We start from the raw sequence: 13995 nt of genomic DNA on the forward strand, positions 1-13995 counted from the left end.
TCCTACTCTCCTTTCCCTTCTCCTTCCTTTCCCCTTTTCCTTTCCCTTGCCTTTCCTCAGCTCCTTTTTCCTCTCACAAATGCATGTAGGCCTCAGGAGTTCTTGAGTACCTGGTTCCCAAATCTTTCTCTTAACCTGTAACACTCCTGATAAATTGATGCATTTTCTCATTCAAAACATATTTATTGGGTATCTACTATTATCAAGGTCCTGGGAAAAAATTATTCTGTGTGAGTTTAATGAAAAAAAATACGGATCTCATGAAGTTTACAATCTTATATAATGTACAATTTTCTTTGTTCTAGGCCGATTAAAACCCATTGAAAGCGCACTAGGAAAATCTATCATCAAGAAGTGGTGAATTGCACCTTTCTGTTTTCATGATATAACAGATACTCACAAAAGGTATAAAAAATTCACTTGGACTAGCAGCGGCTGAAAAACTCCCATTTTAAAGCTGGAAGCAGATTTCTGCCTGGCAAGTGGTTGGGATTTAGACACCCTTTGGGACCAACCATTCCTTTGTTCTAGAAAAACCACCTGAACAGGTCCTTTAGCTATACTAAGTACAAAGCAAGTGGGTGTCAATTGTTTCAAGGAAAGCTGTGAATTATCAGCTATCTTAAATGCAAATGGTTAAGCCAAGCTCCTCCTAATTCTCTGGAGACTTTGTTTTGATTGGGGTGAGTGGGAGTATATTTCTTTTTTTCCGGTATGGATTTGGGTGGCATCGTGCAGGAGGCCTGGATCCCACTGCTTGTCTTCAAGGCTCGCTGCATACTGGTGACAGAGCGTAGCTGATGGGGAGCTGGATCTGAAGCCCCGGTGGCTGCAGGAAAGACGGGAAAGTCCAGCTTAAAAAGTATGTGGTCCAAGTTGAGGGATCCCAAAATGTGGACTCTGCAGTTGAGGTCATAGATATGGTATAGTAAAAAAATACACACATACCACATAAGCTGAAAAAAAAAATACAAAACTGAGTCTATTAAGTTGTCAAGCAAAAGAATGCCAGTGAGAAATTTCACTGAGCAGGTCATTCACAGAGGGGATGAAGTCAGGAGTTTTAAGTGCTAAAAAGGGATTTTCATGGCACTATCGTAATGAGGCGTTGAAAGCTAGTCCTGTGGACAGGAAGAATGAGCTCATCAGTCTGCACACAGATCCACTGGTCAGGAAAGAGTCTTCAGTTACTTCCAGTGAGGGCTGGCATGCAGGGTCATCAAGAGTTTGTGGTCTTTTATCAGCTTCAGTTAGTTACAATTTGTGATGAAACACAATAGTCAGTTTGGGTATCTCTAAGCAAGCACTGATATAAGTGGAAATGTTTTTTTTGACAGTGCTATTGAAGACTAAGTAAGTCAGGCTTCAGGAAAGGTGCTGATGCTGGCAGATTTTATTCTTATGTGCCAACTCACCCCACTGGTATTGATGAAGCTTCTCATAAAGGAAGTTGACCACTCTGGGACTGAACATACAAATGGACAGTGGCCAGATCATGTATAAAAATAGAACTCTGACCTACAACTTCTGCAGCAAGCAACCCAGGAAGCCAAACCACAATCTCTGCAGCAATTAGCCTTAAACAGCAAGGACTTGATCAATAACTGCCAGGTTCCCTAATTTTCACCCCCACTTCCAATTTAGGACCAACCAGGAAAGGAAAATGAGCTCTGCTAACCACTCCCATAGTGTCTTATTCCATTTTTTGTTGCTACAAAGGAACACCCAAGGCTGGATAATTTATAAAGAAAATTTATAAAGAAAATGAGTTTGTTTGACTCACAGTTCTGCAGTTTGTACAAGAAGCATGGTGCCAGCATCTGCATCTGGTGAGGGCTTCAGTCAGCTTCCACTTATTGTGAAAGGTAAAGGGGAGCCAGCATCATGTGGCAAGGGAGGAAGGAAGAGAGAGAGGAGAGGAAGTGCCAGGCTCTTTTCAACAATTACATATGGTGGGAACTAACAGAGTGAGAACTCACTCATTACCGTGAGGACAGCACCAAGTCCCATGATCCAAACACATCCCTTGGGCCTCACCTCCAACCTTGGGGTTCAAATTTCAACATGAGATTTGGAAGGGACAAATATCTAAACTATATTCCGTAGGATGCCTACTTTTAGTTAGCTCACCTACAGCTTCCCCATGCCAACAGCCTCCAATCAGGGCACACCTGCTACTTTTCATGTTTTCCCCATAAAGATTTCCCACTCCTTTGCCAAATGCATGTAATGGTGGTTGACTCTCTTGCTATAGCAAGCTATGAATAAACAGGTTTACTTTTCTCTTTTGGGTGTCTTTTGTTTGTTTCTACAATTCCCACTGTTAAATTAGGGATAAGGAGGACAGTGAAGGTGGCACTTTAGACAAGGGGGTCTGGACCCCAGGAGTGCAGGTGTGCTCCAGGGCATCCCTGGTGGGGCGGGGTCAGCTGCCTCTGGCTCTTGGAGGCAGGACTGCAGCCAGGCAAGGGATAGCCAATAAAGGCCTCTAGGGTAGGCTTGGAGCCTGGGGTTCTGAGACAAGCCACCTCTAACAGCAGAAATAAATTGCACCCTTGATTGCAAATCCTTCCTGGATGTCCAGCAACTTCTTGACAAACTTAATGGCCAGGTCTTTCTTGTACCATGGAAGATTTAAAATAGGGATTTGCTTCCATATGGGAATGGACCAATAAAGGGCAAGGGCAAGGTCAGGGTAGGCCTTGAACAAGAAAAGAATGCTAGAAGGCATCGGGCTTCCATATCTATCATATTGAAGAACCTAGGTACATCATGTGGTCTCTAGTGATGAGATGTTGCCCTTGATGTCAGAGGTAGACTTCTTTCTTGCATGACAAAGATCAAGTATGGTGTGATCACCCTTGAGGAACTTCAGAAATATCTGGGGGAATAGAAAGTCTGTGAAAAGACTATAAGTCTGGCCAGTAGTATGATTTATAATAATAAGGGCAGAGGGCAGGCAACTAGCCAACAAGAGGAGATGGCTAAAGCCATCCTATGAACCATTACACAGTCATTAAAAATAATGTTAATTGATTTGCAAGGCATGAGATGATTCTCACAATACATCAAGCAGAAAAAAATGACACAAAAGTTTGAACAAGATCGTGCCATTTTTATAATGAAAAATGACTACAGGTATAGAAAAAAAAAAGATCATGAGGTTATTTACCAAAATGTTGAGTTACAATCTCTGTGTGGGGGCCTGGGTGACTTTTACTTACTTCTATTTGTTTACTGGCATTCTTTGAAATTGCCATAATAAATAGAAATTATAGATTGACACTAGAAAAAGCAAATGTTATTTCAAGTGCTGCTTTAACAATGGAGCTGCTTTGTGTCTTCGAGAGTGGGACTTGACCTTACCCCTAACACTCCCGTGTGCATCTCTCTGGGCTCTGCCTGTCTGGCCAAAATGCCAGGAAATAAACACAAACTGCAGCTTAAGGAGATCTGTTCAGGAAAAAGCAGGGAGGAGAGCCAAATTCTTCATCCAATCCTTCAGCCAACTGTGTCTTTGTAATAATAAAAATGCAAAGCTGTGAGATAGGAGGGATTTGAGGCTCTGGGGAGAGAAAATGAAACAAAGAGACCGTTTTGGGTGTGGGGGCTTACTGACACAGCCTGGGGTGGTATGGGCTTTATACCCCCTGCAATGATCTCAAAGGCCCACTTCAAATTATATTATTCATTGATATGAGTGATGGATATTTTCTCTATCTTATGTAGGTCGGATGCGGATAAAAAGACAATTTGGCTATAGCAATTGAGATAAGATCAATGTACTTGAAGCCCCCAACTACTGAAATCATGCAGCTTTCACTGCTGAGTTTGCATGGAGAGGCAGTGGAGCAGCTGACAATGGCTGGCCTAATAAATTTCAGGAATGTGACCTGTCCCCATCCACACTGATACAGCCACTGTGAGCACCCTGCCTCTGGCCAGCGATGGTGCAAGTCCCTCCTGTCACTCACAGAGAACACAGCCAGACTCTCAGCATGGCCAAGGCCCAGGGCTGTGCAGAAATGGTGGGGCTGTATCACCCAGGCTCTGATGCCTGTCTCCTCTTCCCTGGGTCAGGATGTCTCATAGTGTGCTCTTTCTAAGCCTCCAGTGGGCTGTCTTTGGTGCTCTATGAAGGGAGCAGAGTTTTGGCCTTTATTATTACATTCTGCTGTGCAGTTTGATCTTGGCCAAATACATGTTCCTCTTAGGAAAATTTTCATTTTAGATATTCTTCCCCCACCAGCCTCCCAAATTTCATTTTGTGCATTTGTTACTTCCACGAGGAAAAAGCAAACATCCCTTTGGAAACCGCCGAATGGGTTTGTGCCATGATTAGATCCATACGATGGTCAGGCAGAGCCTCCCAGAGCCACTAAGGACAGTAAAAGCCCCAAGAGACAATCGGCAGCTGAGGCAAGTTGAGGTGAAGAATCCACATTTGGACCCAAAATTGTACAGGCAGCAGTTTTGACAACGAGCTAAAGATGTGCAGTGGAGAGAGAAACACAACTGGCTTTAGTTTATGTCTTTCTATAATTTTTATGTCTGCATTGGAATTAGTTCCTATTCCCCCTCTATCTTACCTGAAAAGAACTAAACTCTGATAATTAAACTTAAAGTGTGCCGTATGTATCCACCATGTCACATACATACATTTCCAGTTCTTGGCACTTATTTTTAAGTGGTACAATTATTTATTATACATGGTAATACATTTCTTTGTTCTCTGGTACCTTCTAGACCCTAAAGCGAAAAAAGCCTTTAATAAAAATTTGAATACTGCATTATTGAAGCAGGGAGGCTGTATTATTATAGATTATAGAATGGTTGGGCTTTGGGATGTTTTGATGAATCATTGCCTAATATTTCTCTTCTTGTGACACATATATGATTATTAAATGTTGTCTGCTCACTGATTAACTTTGTTTATTTCCTAATTAGGCTTAGGATCAGCTGTCTTGTGGTTATAGAAATAATTGTTTGATTAATGTGTGGGAATTTACATTTTCATTATACTTCTGAATAAGTTCTGTCCTAATTAGCCACAATGCCCCATGCTGATCTGGGGCACCAGAATTGTAATTTTCACCCATTAAGTAATAACTGTTAAATTGATTGGTGATAATTGGGTGTAGATAGTAAATACACATTAGCAGAATTTAAATTATATAGCAGCTACTTCTTTCAATTTGCTTCCAAAGTAGCAAAGTTCTAGAGATGGGCAGTCATGATTTGGATAGAGTGGGGCCTCACATACTTGCCAATACTCTTTTTGATCAGTAAATTCCATAAAGTTTCAAGAGGAGCTCTAGAAATCAGCCAATCTGCTGGAATTTGATGTCTGGGTTTGTGAATGAGTGTCTCCCCAAGTTTCTCCCTAGGCATCTCTCTTACCTTAGCCTAGTGCCTGTCTGCTACTTTGTTAAGAACCCTCAATGGCCCCTACAGAGCCTGCTCTTGGAGGCTTAAAATATGCTGGCTGGTGCCCAAGAATCTTCAAAATAGGGTTACTCCTTCATAGCCATTCATCATATTAGGCTTTCTGCTGTGAGACCCACTCAAGGTATCTCAGGAAGAAAAGCAGGATACATTGTAAGAACATGTGTGGAGTGGAGGTAGATCCAGGGAGTCCACGAAGGTATAACTCAGGGTATCTCTACCTGTCTCTATTTCTGTCTCACTACCTTTCCCTTTGTCTCTGTCTCTCCATCTCTACCTTTGTTTCCACTGCTTTTCTCTTCACCTCTCTCCTCCTTCATGCACACCTTTTCAAGTCTCCTATCACACCACCAACCAGGTTTCCTATCTTCTTTGTTGTTTCATTTCCTTCGCTGCCACTCACGGCTTTGGTTTGCTGTGGTTCCAACTCAACCCCCTCACCTTCAGCCCTCACCAGCTACCCAGCCTCTCATTTCCCTGAGAGGGGAATGTAGACCTTGAGACTTTGTCGTGTGTTAGTCATTCGCCTGCCATTGTTTGCCATAGACATCTACCAACTGGGCTAAAATTTTACTTAATACTTTTTCAAAAAACCATTTTTTATACATCTTAATATTATGTATCATAAAGGGAACTTTATATCAGTATCACAAATGGAAAACAAGCATTTTCCTGGTATACATTACAATGAAAGCATAACAACTTTTTTTTTAAGTCACGTATTCTCACCAAAATAGTTTCATGTCAGGTACCACCCACTGTGTCCGTCCCGCCTTTCGGGAAGCAGTTGTAGCCCATCCTTTTCAAGCTGCCACAAGTATTGTTTGTCACTAGCCTCAGGATTGGTTGATCTTCAGTCATGTGACTCTGCTGGTTTAATCAGCTGTGACTGGAGTTGGAGGCTGTGGTCACGTGATGTAGAACAATGCCGAGTGGGTACTGGGCTTCCCTGAGAGAGTAAGATGCTTCCAGCAGCCAGGTTTCAAGCCACATGCTCTGCGTACACGATCACAATTCGTCCTCATAGCAACTCCATGAGGAGGGCGTTAGTAGCCCAGTTTCTCTGTCCTTTAAAGCCTAAGAGAGTGGGATAACTTCCTGAGGGTCAAAGGGACCCACCATATGAAGCCCTGGGAAGACGCTGCTCCATTTGGGACCATTCTCAAGCAGTTCTATAAGAGCTGCATATCTTTACCTAAAATCTAAGGTCAGCCACAATGGCCTCCAAAAACAGAACTCCTCTCCTCCAAATTCCAGAAAGGCAGAACTTTGAGCGAGCGAAAGGCCATTTGCAGTCGGCCAGGGAGGCTTTTTGCTGAGCTGAGAGGAAAAGCGTTTGGGGAGTGCTGAGAATGCTCAGCGCACTGTCTCGTACAGACTCCTGCCTCTGTTCCCACTCTGATTGCTGATGACCACGCCGTCGGGATCTGGCGTCCAGGAGAGGACGGCTCTGGCTGTAGAACTTGCTGTGTTTCCTGCATTTATGGCTGCACTGACCCCAAAACAGCGCTCTGTTCTCTGCTTTTAATCTACTCTGACTTTGAAGGTTCTATTGAGGATGTTTCCTGCCTGTATCTTGTTTCTCCTCCCTCAGCACAGCCTCCAAATTAAAAAACGAAACAAAACATTGATTCTTTGTGAAGGGAGCTGAAAATACGGTAACCACCGTGTAGATTGTCGACTTTGGAGGGAAAAAGTGCAGCTATATATTTGGCTGTGGTGACACAGTGCCTGACACAGCACTTGACCCGTGGCAGGCTCTCAGTTATGATTTGTGAATGGATGGATGAGACAGAATGGTTGGTGGGGCCTCTGGAGTAAATAGCCAAGGAGGGAGAGAAAATTCTTCATTTTTAGTAAGTATGTGACCAAAATAGAAGAAGTCCAAAATAGAACAGAAAACCACAGAGTATTTTTTCTGATGACATCAAAAATATCTACTTCCCTTGAAGGAAACCAGAATCATCTTTAGTTCCGGCAGAAATTCTTTCTTGGAGGCTCAGCCAGGAAACATTGCATAATGTAGTTATGTAATGCTTTCTTTCCAAAGTGTATCTCTCAATGGTCTCCATACTTTCCAAGGGACCCAGTATGGAGTACAGATTGACAGGGAAGGTTCTGAAGTCAGATTGCTTGGCCTTGAAAGCCAGCATTAGCTGGCTGGTGACCCTGAACTACAGGACTTAACCTTTATGATACTCAGATTCCCCAACTGTAAAATGGGGATTATAATAGTAATTACTTTGTAGGAATATTGTAAAGAATAAAGGGGATAATTCATGTGAGTCATCTAGTCCAATGCCCAGGGCTCAATAATTGTTCATGGTAAATTTCTACATCTCCCTTTGAGACTGTCTGAGTTTCTGGATTTGATATACTCTTTTCCTCGAAGGGTGGAAGGATGTTATATTGTGACCTTGCATTTCAAGGTCACTGGCTTAAATTAGGGAGGGTGTTGGGCATGGAACAATGGAAAGGTAAGAAAGAATGTTCTATCCTGACTTGAGCCTAGGGATTGGCTCAATCTCCCCTTGAGCTGGGGTAGAATTAGTGCCAATCACACCATGTGGTTGCTACATAATGGGAAGGTGGTAAATCCCCACACCAAAGGGAAATCAGGAGGAAGGAAAGGGAAGATATGTTTGGGAGGCATCCTAGGTGGCTTCCCCCAAAAGCCAATCCTGAAATAAGGATTCCAGTGCAAGTGATTTGTTCAGAAGATGATTTCAAGGAAATAGAGGAAGGAGATTGGGCAACAGGTAAGAAACAGAGGACAGTCAATACAGGGAGGGCAGCTGGAGATTCATCCCAGGGAGAGTTACTGGGAAATGGTATAAAACACACACCAATGAGGGACAAGGGAGCTAGGGTATCTATATGTCCACTCCCCTCACTTATTGGTTGAGGGCTGCTGCTTCAAGGAGTGAATTCCCCAGCACTTCTTGCTAGCATGCAGAGCAGCCTTCTGAGGTTTGTGGAGGGGGAGGGGAAAGCTACACATAGTGGTGTAGAAAGTTATCTGAAGCACACTGGAGTGCTTGGATGTGAGGGATGTAGGTGAGGAACTGGCAGTATCTGTTACAAGTGGTAGCCTGGAGGCGTCTAGAGTGCCCTGCTGGACATGGTTCAGCCGAAGAATATGAACTTCATCTTTGTGGTAACAGGGAGCCATTGAGAATGTTTTAAGCAGGTGGATGGCAGTCAGATCTGCATTTCAGGACTACATCTCAAGAGCCGCAATCAAATCCCAAAGAGTTTGTCAGCCTCAATTAGTGCAGAAATCATGCCTCCTCCTTGCTGTATGGTTCAGTTATAGAGAAAGCTGAGAGCCACGAGCCAGAAGGAAGGGATTTGGTAGGCAGTAGAGGCATCAAATCATTGCAGCCCAAGGCTCTCGGTGCCAGCTGGAGCAATAGCTAATTGCAGAGTTGTTTCAGAAGGCGCTGAAGTTCCACAGCTGTCCCAGACTCCCAGAGACCAAGCAAGGATCTGTGTAGGCTGTTGTCTCCAGGAACATACTTGCTGGGGACATGGCCTGGTTCCTAGCAGGAGGCACAACTAGGACATCCTTCTACATGGGTCAGGTACATCATCAGTGCCTGAGTTCCCTGAGGCCTCGAGGCTAAGGCAATCGAGGCAACATGACTACCACTGGGGACAGCCCTCTTACGTTCCATGAAATATGGGGTGAGAAAAAAAATGGCTATTTTTCCTGTTTGGTCTAAATTCATTTTTTTTCCCCAGTGTGAAAGTATGTTTGAAAGGAGGACAAAAAGGCTTCCAGCCAGCTCCTCTTCCACTAAGGAAGAAAGGGCATAGGATTTGGGCACAAGAAAACTAGAATGTGGTCCTTCATCTGCTGTCAAAAGTGATGTGACTCTAGGCTAGTCACTGTGCCACTCTGGTGGGCAATTTCCTTACCTGTTAAAAATGATGGAATTGGGGCCAAGCACAGTGGCTCACACCTGTTATCCCAGCACTTTGGGAGGCTGAGGTGGGAGGATTGCTTGAGCCCAGGAGTTTGAGGCTGCAGTGAGATAGGATTGCATGACTGCACTTCAGCCTGAGTGACAGAGCAAGGCTCTACCTCTTAAAAAAATTTTTTTAATTAAAAAAAAAAGATGGGATTAGAATGAGTGACTGAGCTCAAGAGCTGTGTCATCCACTAGAAACATTTACAAGCCACAAATGTGAGCCACATGTGTAATCTTAAATTTTCTGGTAGTCACATTAACAAAAGCAGCAAAAGAACAGGTGAAATCATTTTTAATAATATATTTTATATAAGCCAATGTAGCAAAAATATTTTAATTTCAGCATGCAATAAACATAAAATATCATTAGTGTGATATTTACATTCTTCTTTTCCTACTTCTTTTCCTACTGTGTCTTGAATTTAGATTGTGGAATTCTAACATGAACTATGCTTTTGCTGCATCAAGGGAGTATAGGTTAAATATGGGAGAGAGCTTCTTGTGAGAGTAGATATTAAAAATGCAAACACTGGGTCCTGAAGGAGGCTGTGGAAGCTCCTCCACAGAGGAGACAGACAGAGCTGGGTTCCAATAAATCCTGACCCCACTACTTACTGAGGGTCCCTGGGCAAGTCACTCTGTCTTTCTAAGGCTGAATTTTCTTATGTGTCAAATAGTTGGGATGATATCCTATGGTAGTAATATAGGTTAAATAAGATAATATATGTAAAACACTTAGCTCAGGGACTGGCATATTTTAAGCGTTTGATTATGACAGATATTACAATTATTCCATTGAGGCAAAATTAAAGCCAGAATTACATGCATTGGGAAAAAAATTATACGTTCTAGGCCTCAGAACAAGGATAAAAAACTGTAACTCTAGACCCTCATCGTCCCCATCATATGTCCTGCAAAATGTCACTCATCAGTCAGTTTCTCTCTATCTGAGCCCTGAGGAAACCTCGGAAGCCTTCTCAACACAGGTAACCACTGTCCCTCAATCTGAACTGGCAAGTGGATCAAATTTATGTGCCATCCCTGCATTAGCATTGCGTGATAGAAGGAAGATGTTGGAATCCCAGGAGGCAATGCTAAACAATGATAGAAAATGTGGGGAGGAGGAGAGATTGACAGAGAGAGACAGAGAGAGAAAGAGAGAGACAGAACAAGAGCAAAAGAGTTTTCAGCAGGGAGCTGGGTGTTTCTTTCATTTTGGGGTCAATGTGATTGAGCCTGCACAGGACTGCCTGTGAATCCTGCACTGACTGGAGCGTGGGTACCAGAGTCTCTCTGCAATGCCTTCCAGGGCCAGACATTTGGGCTGGGGTTGAACCCTGACTATTCCACCCAGGGAAGCAGTTTCATTTAGAATTCCAAGGACCCAATTTATCTGTGTCACACTACTGGCTCCTCCAAGGCTGATAACAAATGGCTGATCATTTCCCCCACCACCCTGCTTCCCAATCATCGCGCTTGCTCAGCCCCTCAGTAATGGAGGGTCTCACACGGGAGAATTGCAGAGCCAGCCTATCCATCTCCTGCTGATGGAGGGGAAATCTCCTTACAGAGCCTCAGGGCTTCTCTCACAAAGATGAGAGAAGGAGAATCAACTTGACACTCCTTTCCCTCTGAGACGATGTGGCAGAAACAGGAGGAGGCTTACAACAAATTTAAGGGAAACACATCCATCTGTCTTTTCTTTGTTTCTTTATTCATTTGACAAATATTTTCAGGGGCCCAGGGCAGTTTCTTAGGACCAGGAAGGATGGCATTGCAAAGATGAGCAGGCTTGGTGTCTGCCCTCAGAATTTACAGAACACCAATGACTAGAATCCAGCTCCAAGCTTGGAGTAAACAGATGAAGAAGCAGAAGAGAGCCCTGGGGTGGCTATGGGGGACATCTGTGGGTTTTGTTTCACCCAGAGAGGCTTGTTGAGTGCTTTACTGGCCATTTGTTACCAGGAAGGAGGAGATTGCAAGGATGGATCAGGCTTGGTGTCTGCCCTCAGAATTTACAGGACACAGGAGGCAAGTGGAACAACCACCACAATCTCCTAAAGAAGGTCATATTGCCCCTTGCTTGCAACTCTAAAAAGCCTTCTGCAGGTCTCGGAATAAAATTCAATCTCCTGACCTTGGCTTTAAAGCGTGATCCACTGGGCCTCACTTACTTCTTGATCCTGTCACCCGCTTCACTCCAGCTGCAATGGCCAAGAAGTTCCCAGTCTCTCCTCAGTTCCTGCCTCAGGGCATTTGCACTGCCATTCCTCCTGCTTGGGGTGCCCTTCCCTGACCTCCCCTTTCTTGTTCATTCCTTCTTTTCATTCATATCTCAGCCCAATGGCCTCTCCCAAGAGCAGCCCTATCTGACCCCCAGCTGACAGTTGCCACTCCTTAGCTTTGATCACACTGTCCTGTATCATTCTCTGTAAAGCACTTCTCCCTGGCTCGTGTTTCTTTTTTGTTTGTTTGTTTAGTGTCTGTCTCACCTCCAAAATGAAAGCTCCAGGGACTCAGGGACTTTGTAGTTCTTGACTCTCCCCTGATCCTGACACCTAGTAGAATATCTGTAAATACTGGCTTATTTAGTGAATGAATAAACTAATAGTGAACATTTTTGAGCACCTATCAGACAGGAAGAACGTTTCACATGAATTAATCTCATTGTCCTCCTAATGTTCCTAAAAGGTAGGTGGTATGATTTTCCCCATTTTACAGTGAGGAAACTTAACTCACAAGAGATTGACCTGCTGGCCTGAGTGCCCAGCTGTTGGGGGGTGGAATCAAGATTCCAAGTCACGTCTTGGGAGGCCAAGCTCTTAACTCCTATCCTGCACTCTCTTTTCATGTAGACATGCCATGTATCTCAGTCCTTGTTCTTTGTCATGTCACTTGCTCAGGAGGCTTCTATATACCCGTGGCCTCCTCTAACTGGAGACCTGGTTTACGTTTTGAGTCCTGGCTGTGACATATGAGGAGCTGCTTAACCCTCCCAAAGCCTCACCCTCCCCAAACTGATGAGACTGAGGGTTCTGCCGTGGGGGTTGTCAACCTAAGAAGCTCTGCTATCAGCTTCCACATGACCTACAATAGAAACCACTAAGTAGGCCAGCCTCCCAGGTTTCCTTTCCTTTCACATGCTAGCATCCTCTTCATTCTATTCTGCATCAAAACATATGAGTACAATCACGGCAGCAAACTATGCTTTAAAGTTTAAGCAATTTGGCGGGGGAGGGGTGGTTGTTGACTTTGTCTCAGTTGATTCTCACAAGAAGATAGAGCGCATGTTTAAAATTATTTTTATTTCTTAGTATGTGTGTTAGTCCATTCTCACACTGCTATGAAGAAGTACCCAAAACTGGGTAATTTAAAAAGGAAAAAGGTTTAATTGGCTCACAGTTATGCATTGCTGGGGAGGTCTCAGGAAACTTACAATCATGATGGAAGGCGAAGGAGAAGCAGGTACCTTCTTCACAAGGTGGCAGGATGGAGTGAGTGCAAGCAAGGGAAATGCCAGATGCTTATAAAACCATTAGATCTCATGAGACTCACTCATCATCAGAACAGTATGGGGGAAACCGCCCCCGTGATCCAGTTACCTCCACCTGGTCTTGCCCTTGACATGTGAGGATTACAGGGATTATGGGGATTACAATTCGAGATGGGATTTTGGGTGGAGACACAGCCAAACCATATCATTATGGTTCAATCAAAAATAATATTTTAGAACATTTAGAAAATGAATCAAGATGGAGGACTTATCACAAAAACTTCCTTTCCTCCTGACCCAAGTTCCATAAAAACAAGAGAAAAAAATAATTTTAAGCCCAATCTATCTACAACTTTGTTGTAGGGGTGGGGAACTGGGTGTTTACCATGGACCTGTCATTTTGAAGAACTTCTGAAAGACTTAATTTAGATGCTATCTGGTCTATAGAGAAGGGACTCCAGAGAAAGCCACAGCCTAGAATCCTGCTCCAAGCTTGGAGTAAGTTGATGAAGAAGCAGAAGAGAGCTCTGGGGTGGCTTTGGGGGTGATTTGTGGGCTTTGTTTCGCCTAGTGAGGCTGGTAGAGTGCTTTACCCTCTTCACTTGGGGTCAGTAGAAGTGTGGACATCAGGACTCAAGTGCAAGCGGTGCCCTAGGCTGCTCTGAACTCCGGGAGGATGGGACCTCCCACATGGAGAAACAAGCAGCTGATACTCCCCACCTACTCTGCAGCATCTCACCCCCAGATACCTCAGAGGCAGGTGTCAGGAAATAGAAACCCTGCTCATAGGCATGCAGCCTGTACCTCAAATACGAAGATGAGCATAAACCCAGGATCTCTAAGTATTTGAAAAAGAAACCACACCTGAAAGAGAAAAATGAATGCCCAAGTAAGCAGAGATCACAGAGCAAACAGAAGATGAAAGTCAAGGGTGAGAGAATAATAAGATAAATTAGAGTATGTCAGATTTAAAACATAATGCAATTATGTATTTTTTTCTCATTGCTAAAGGACATTACTAATTGTAGGAAGTGTAGAAAATACAGAATACACATAGAAGAAAACTAAAATCATTTGTGATCA

At 43.7% G+C, this 13995-nt stretch overlaps 1 annotated feature.

Moving 5' to 3' along the window:
- Positions 255-788: an enhancer, noted in NCBI's record as "NANOG hESC enhancer chr12:108434034-108434567 (GRCh37/hg19 assembly coordinates)". NCBI's record gives its function as "activates a minimal SCP1, AML or CMV promoter by ChIP-STARR-seq in primed H9 embryonic stem cells {active_cell/tissue: H9 hESC(primed)}" and the evidence as "EXISTENCE:reporter gene assay evidence [ECO:0000049][PMID:30033119]".

This window comes from Homo sapiens, chromosome 12, assembly GCF_000001405.40.
Source record: "Homo sapiens chromosome 12, GRCh38.p14 Primary Assembly".
Taxonomy (NCBI): domain Eukaryota; kingdom Metazoa; phylum Chordata; class Mammalia; order Primates; family Hominidae; genus Homo; species Homo sapiens.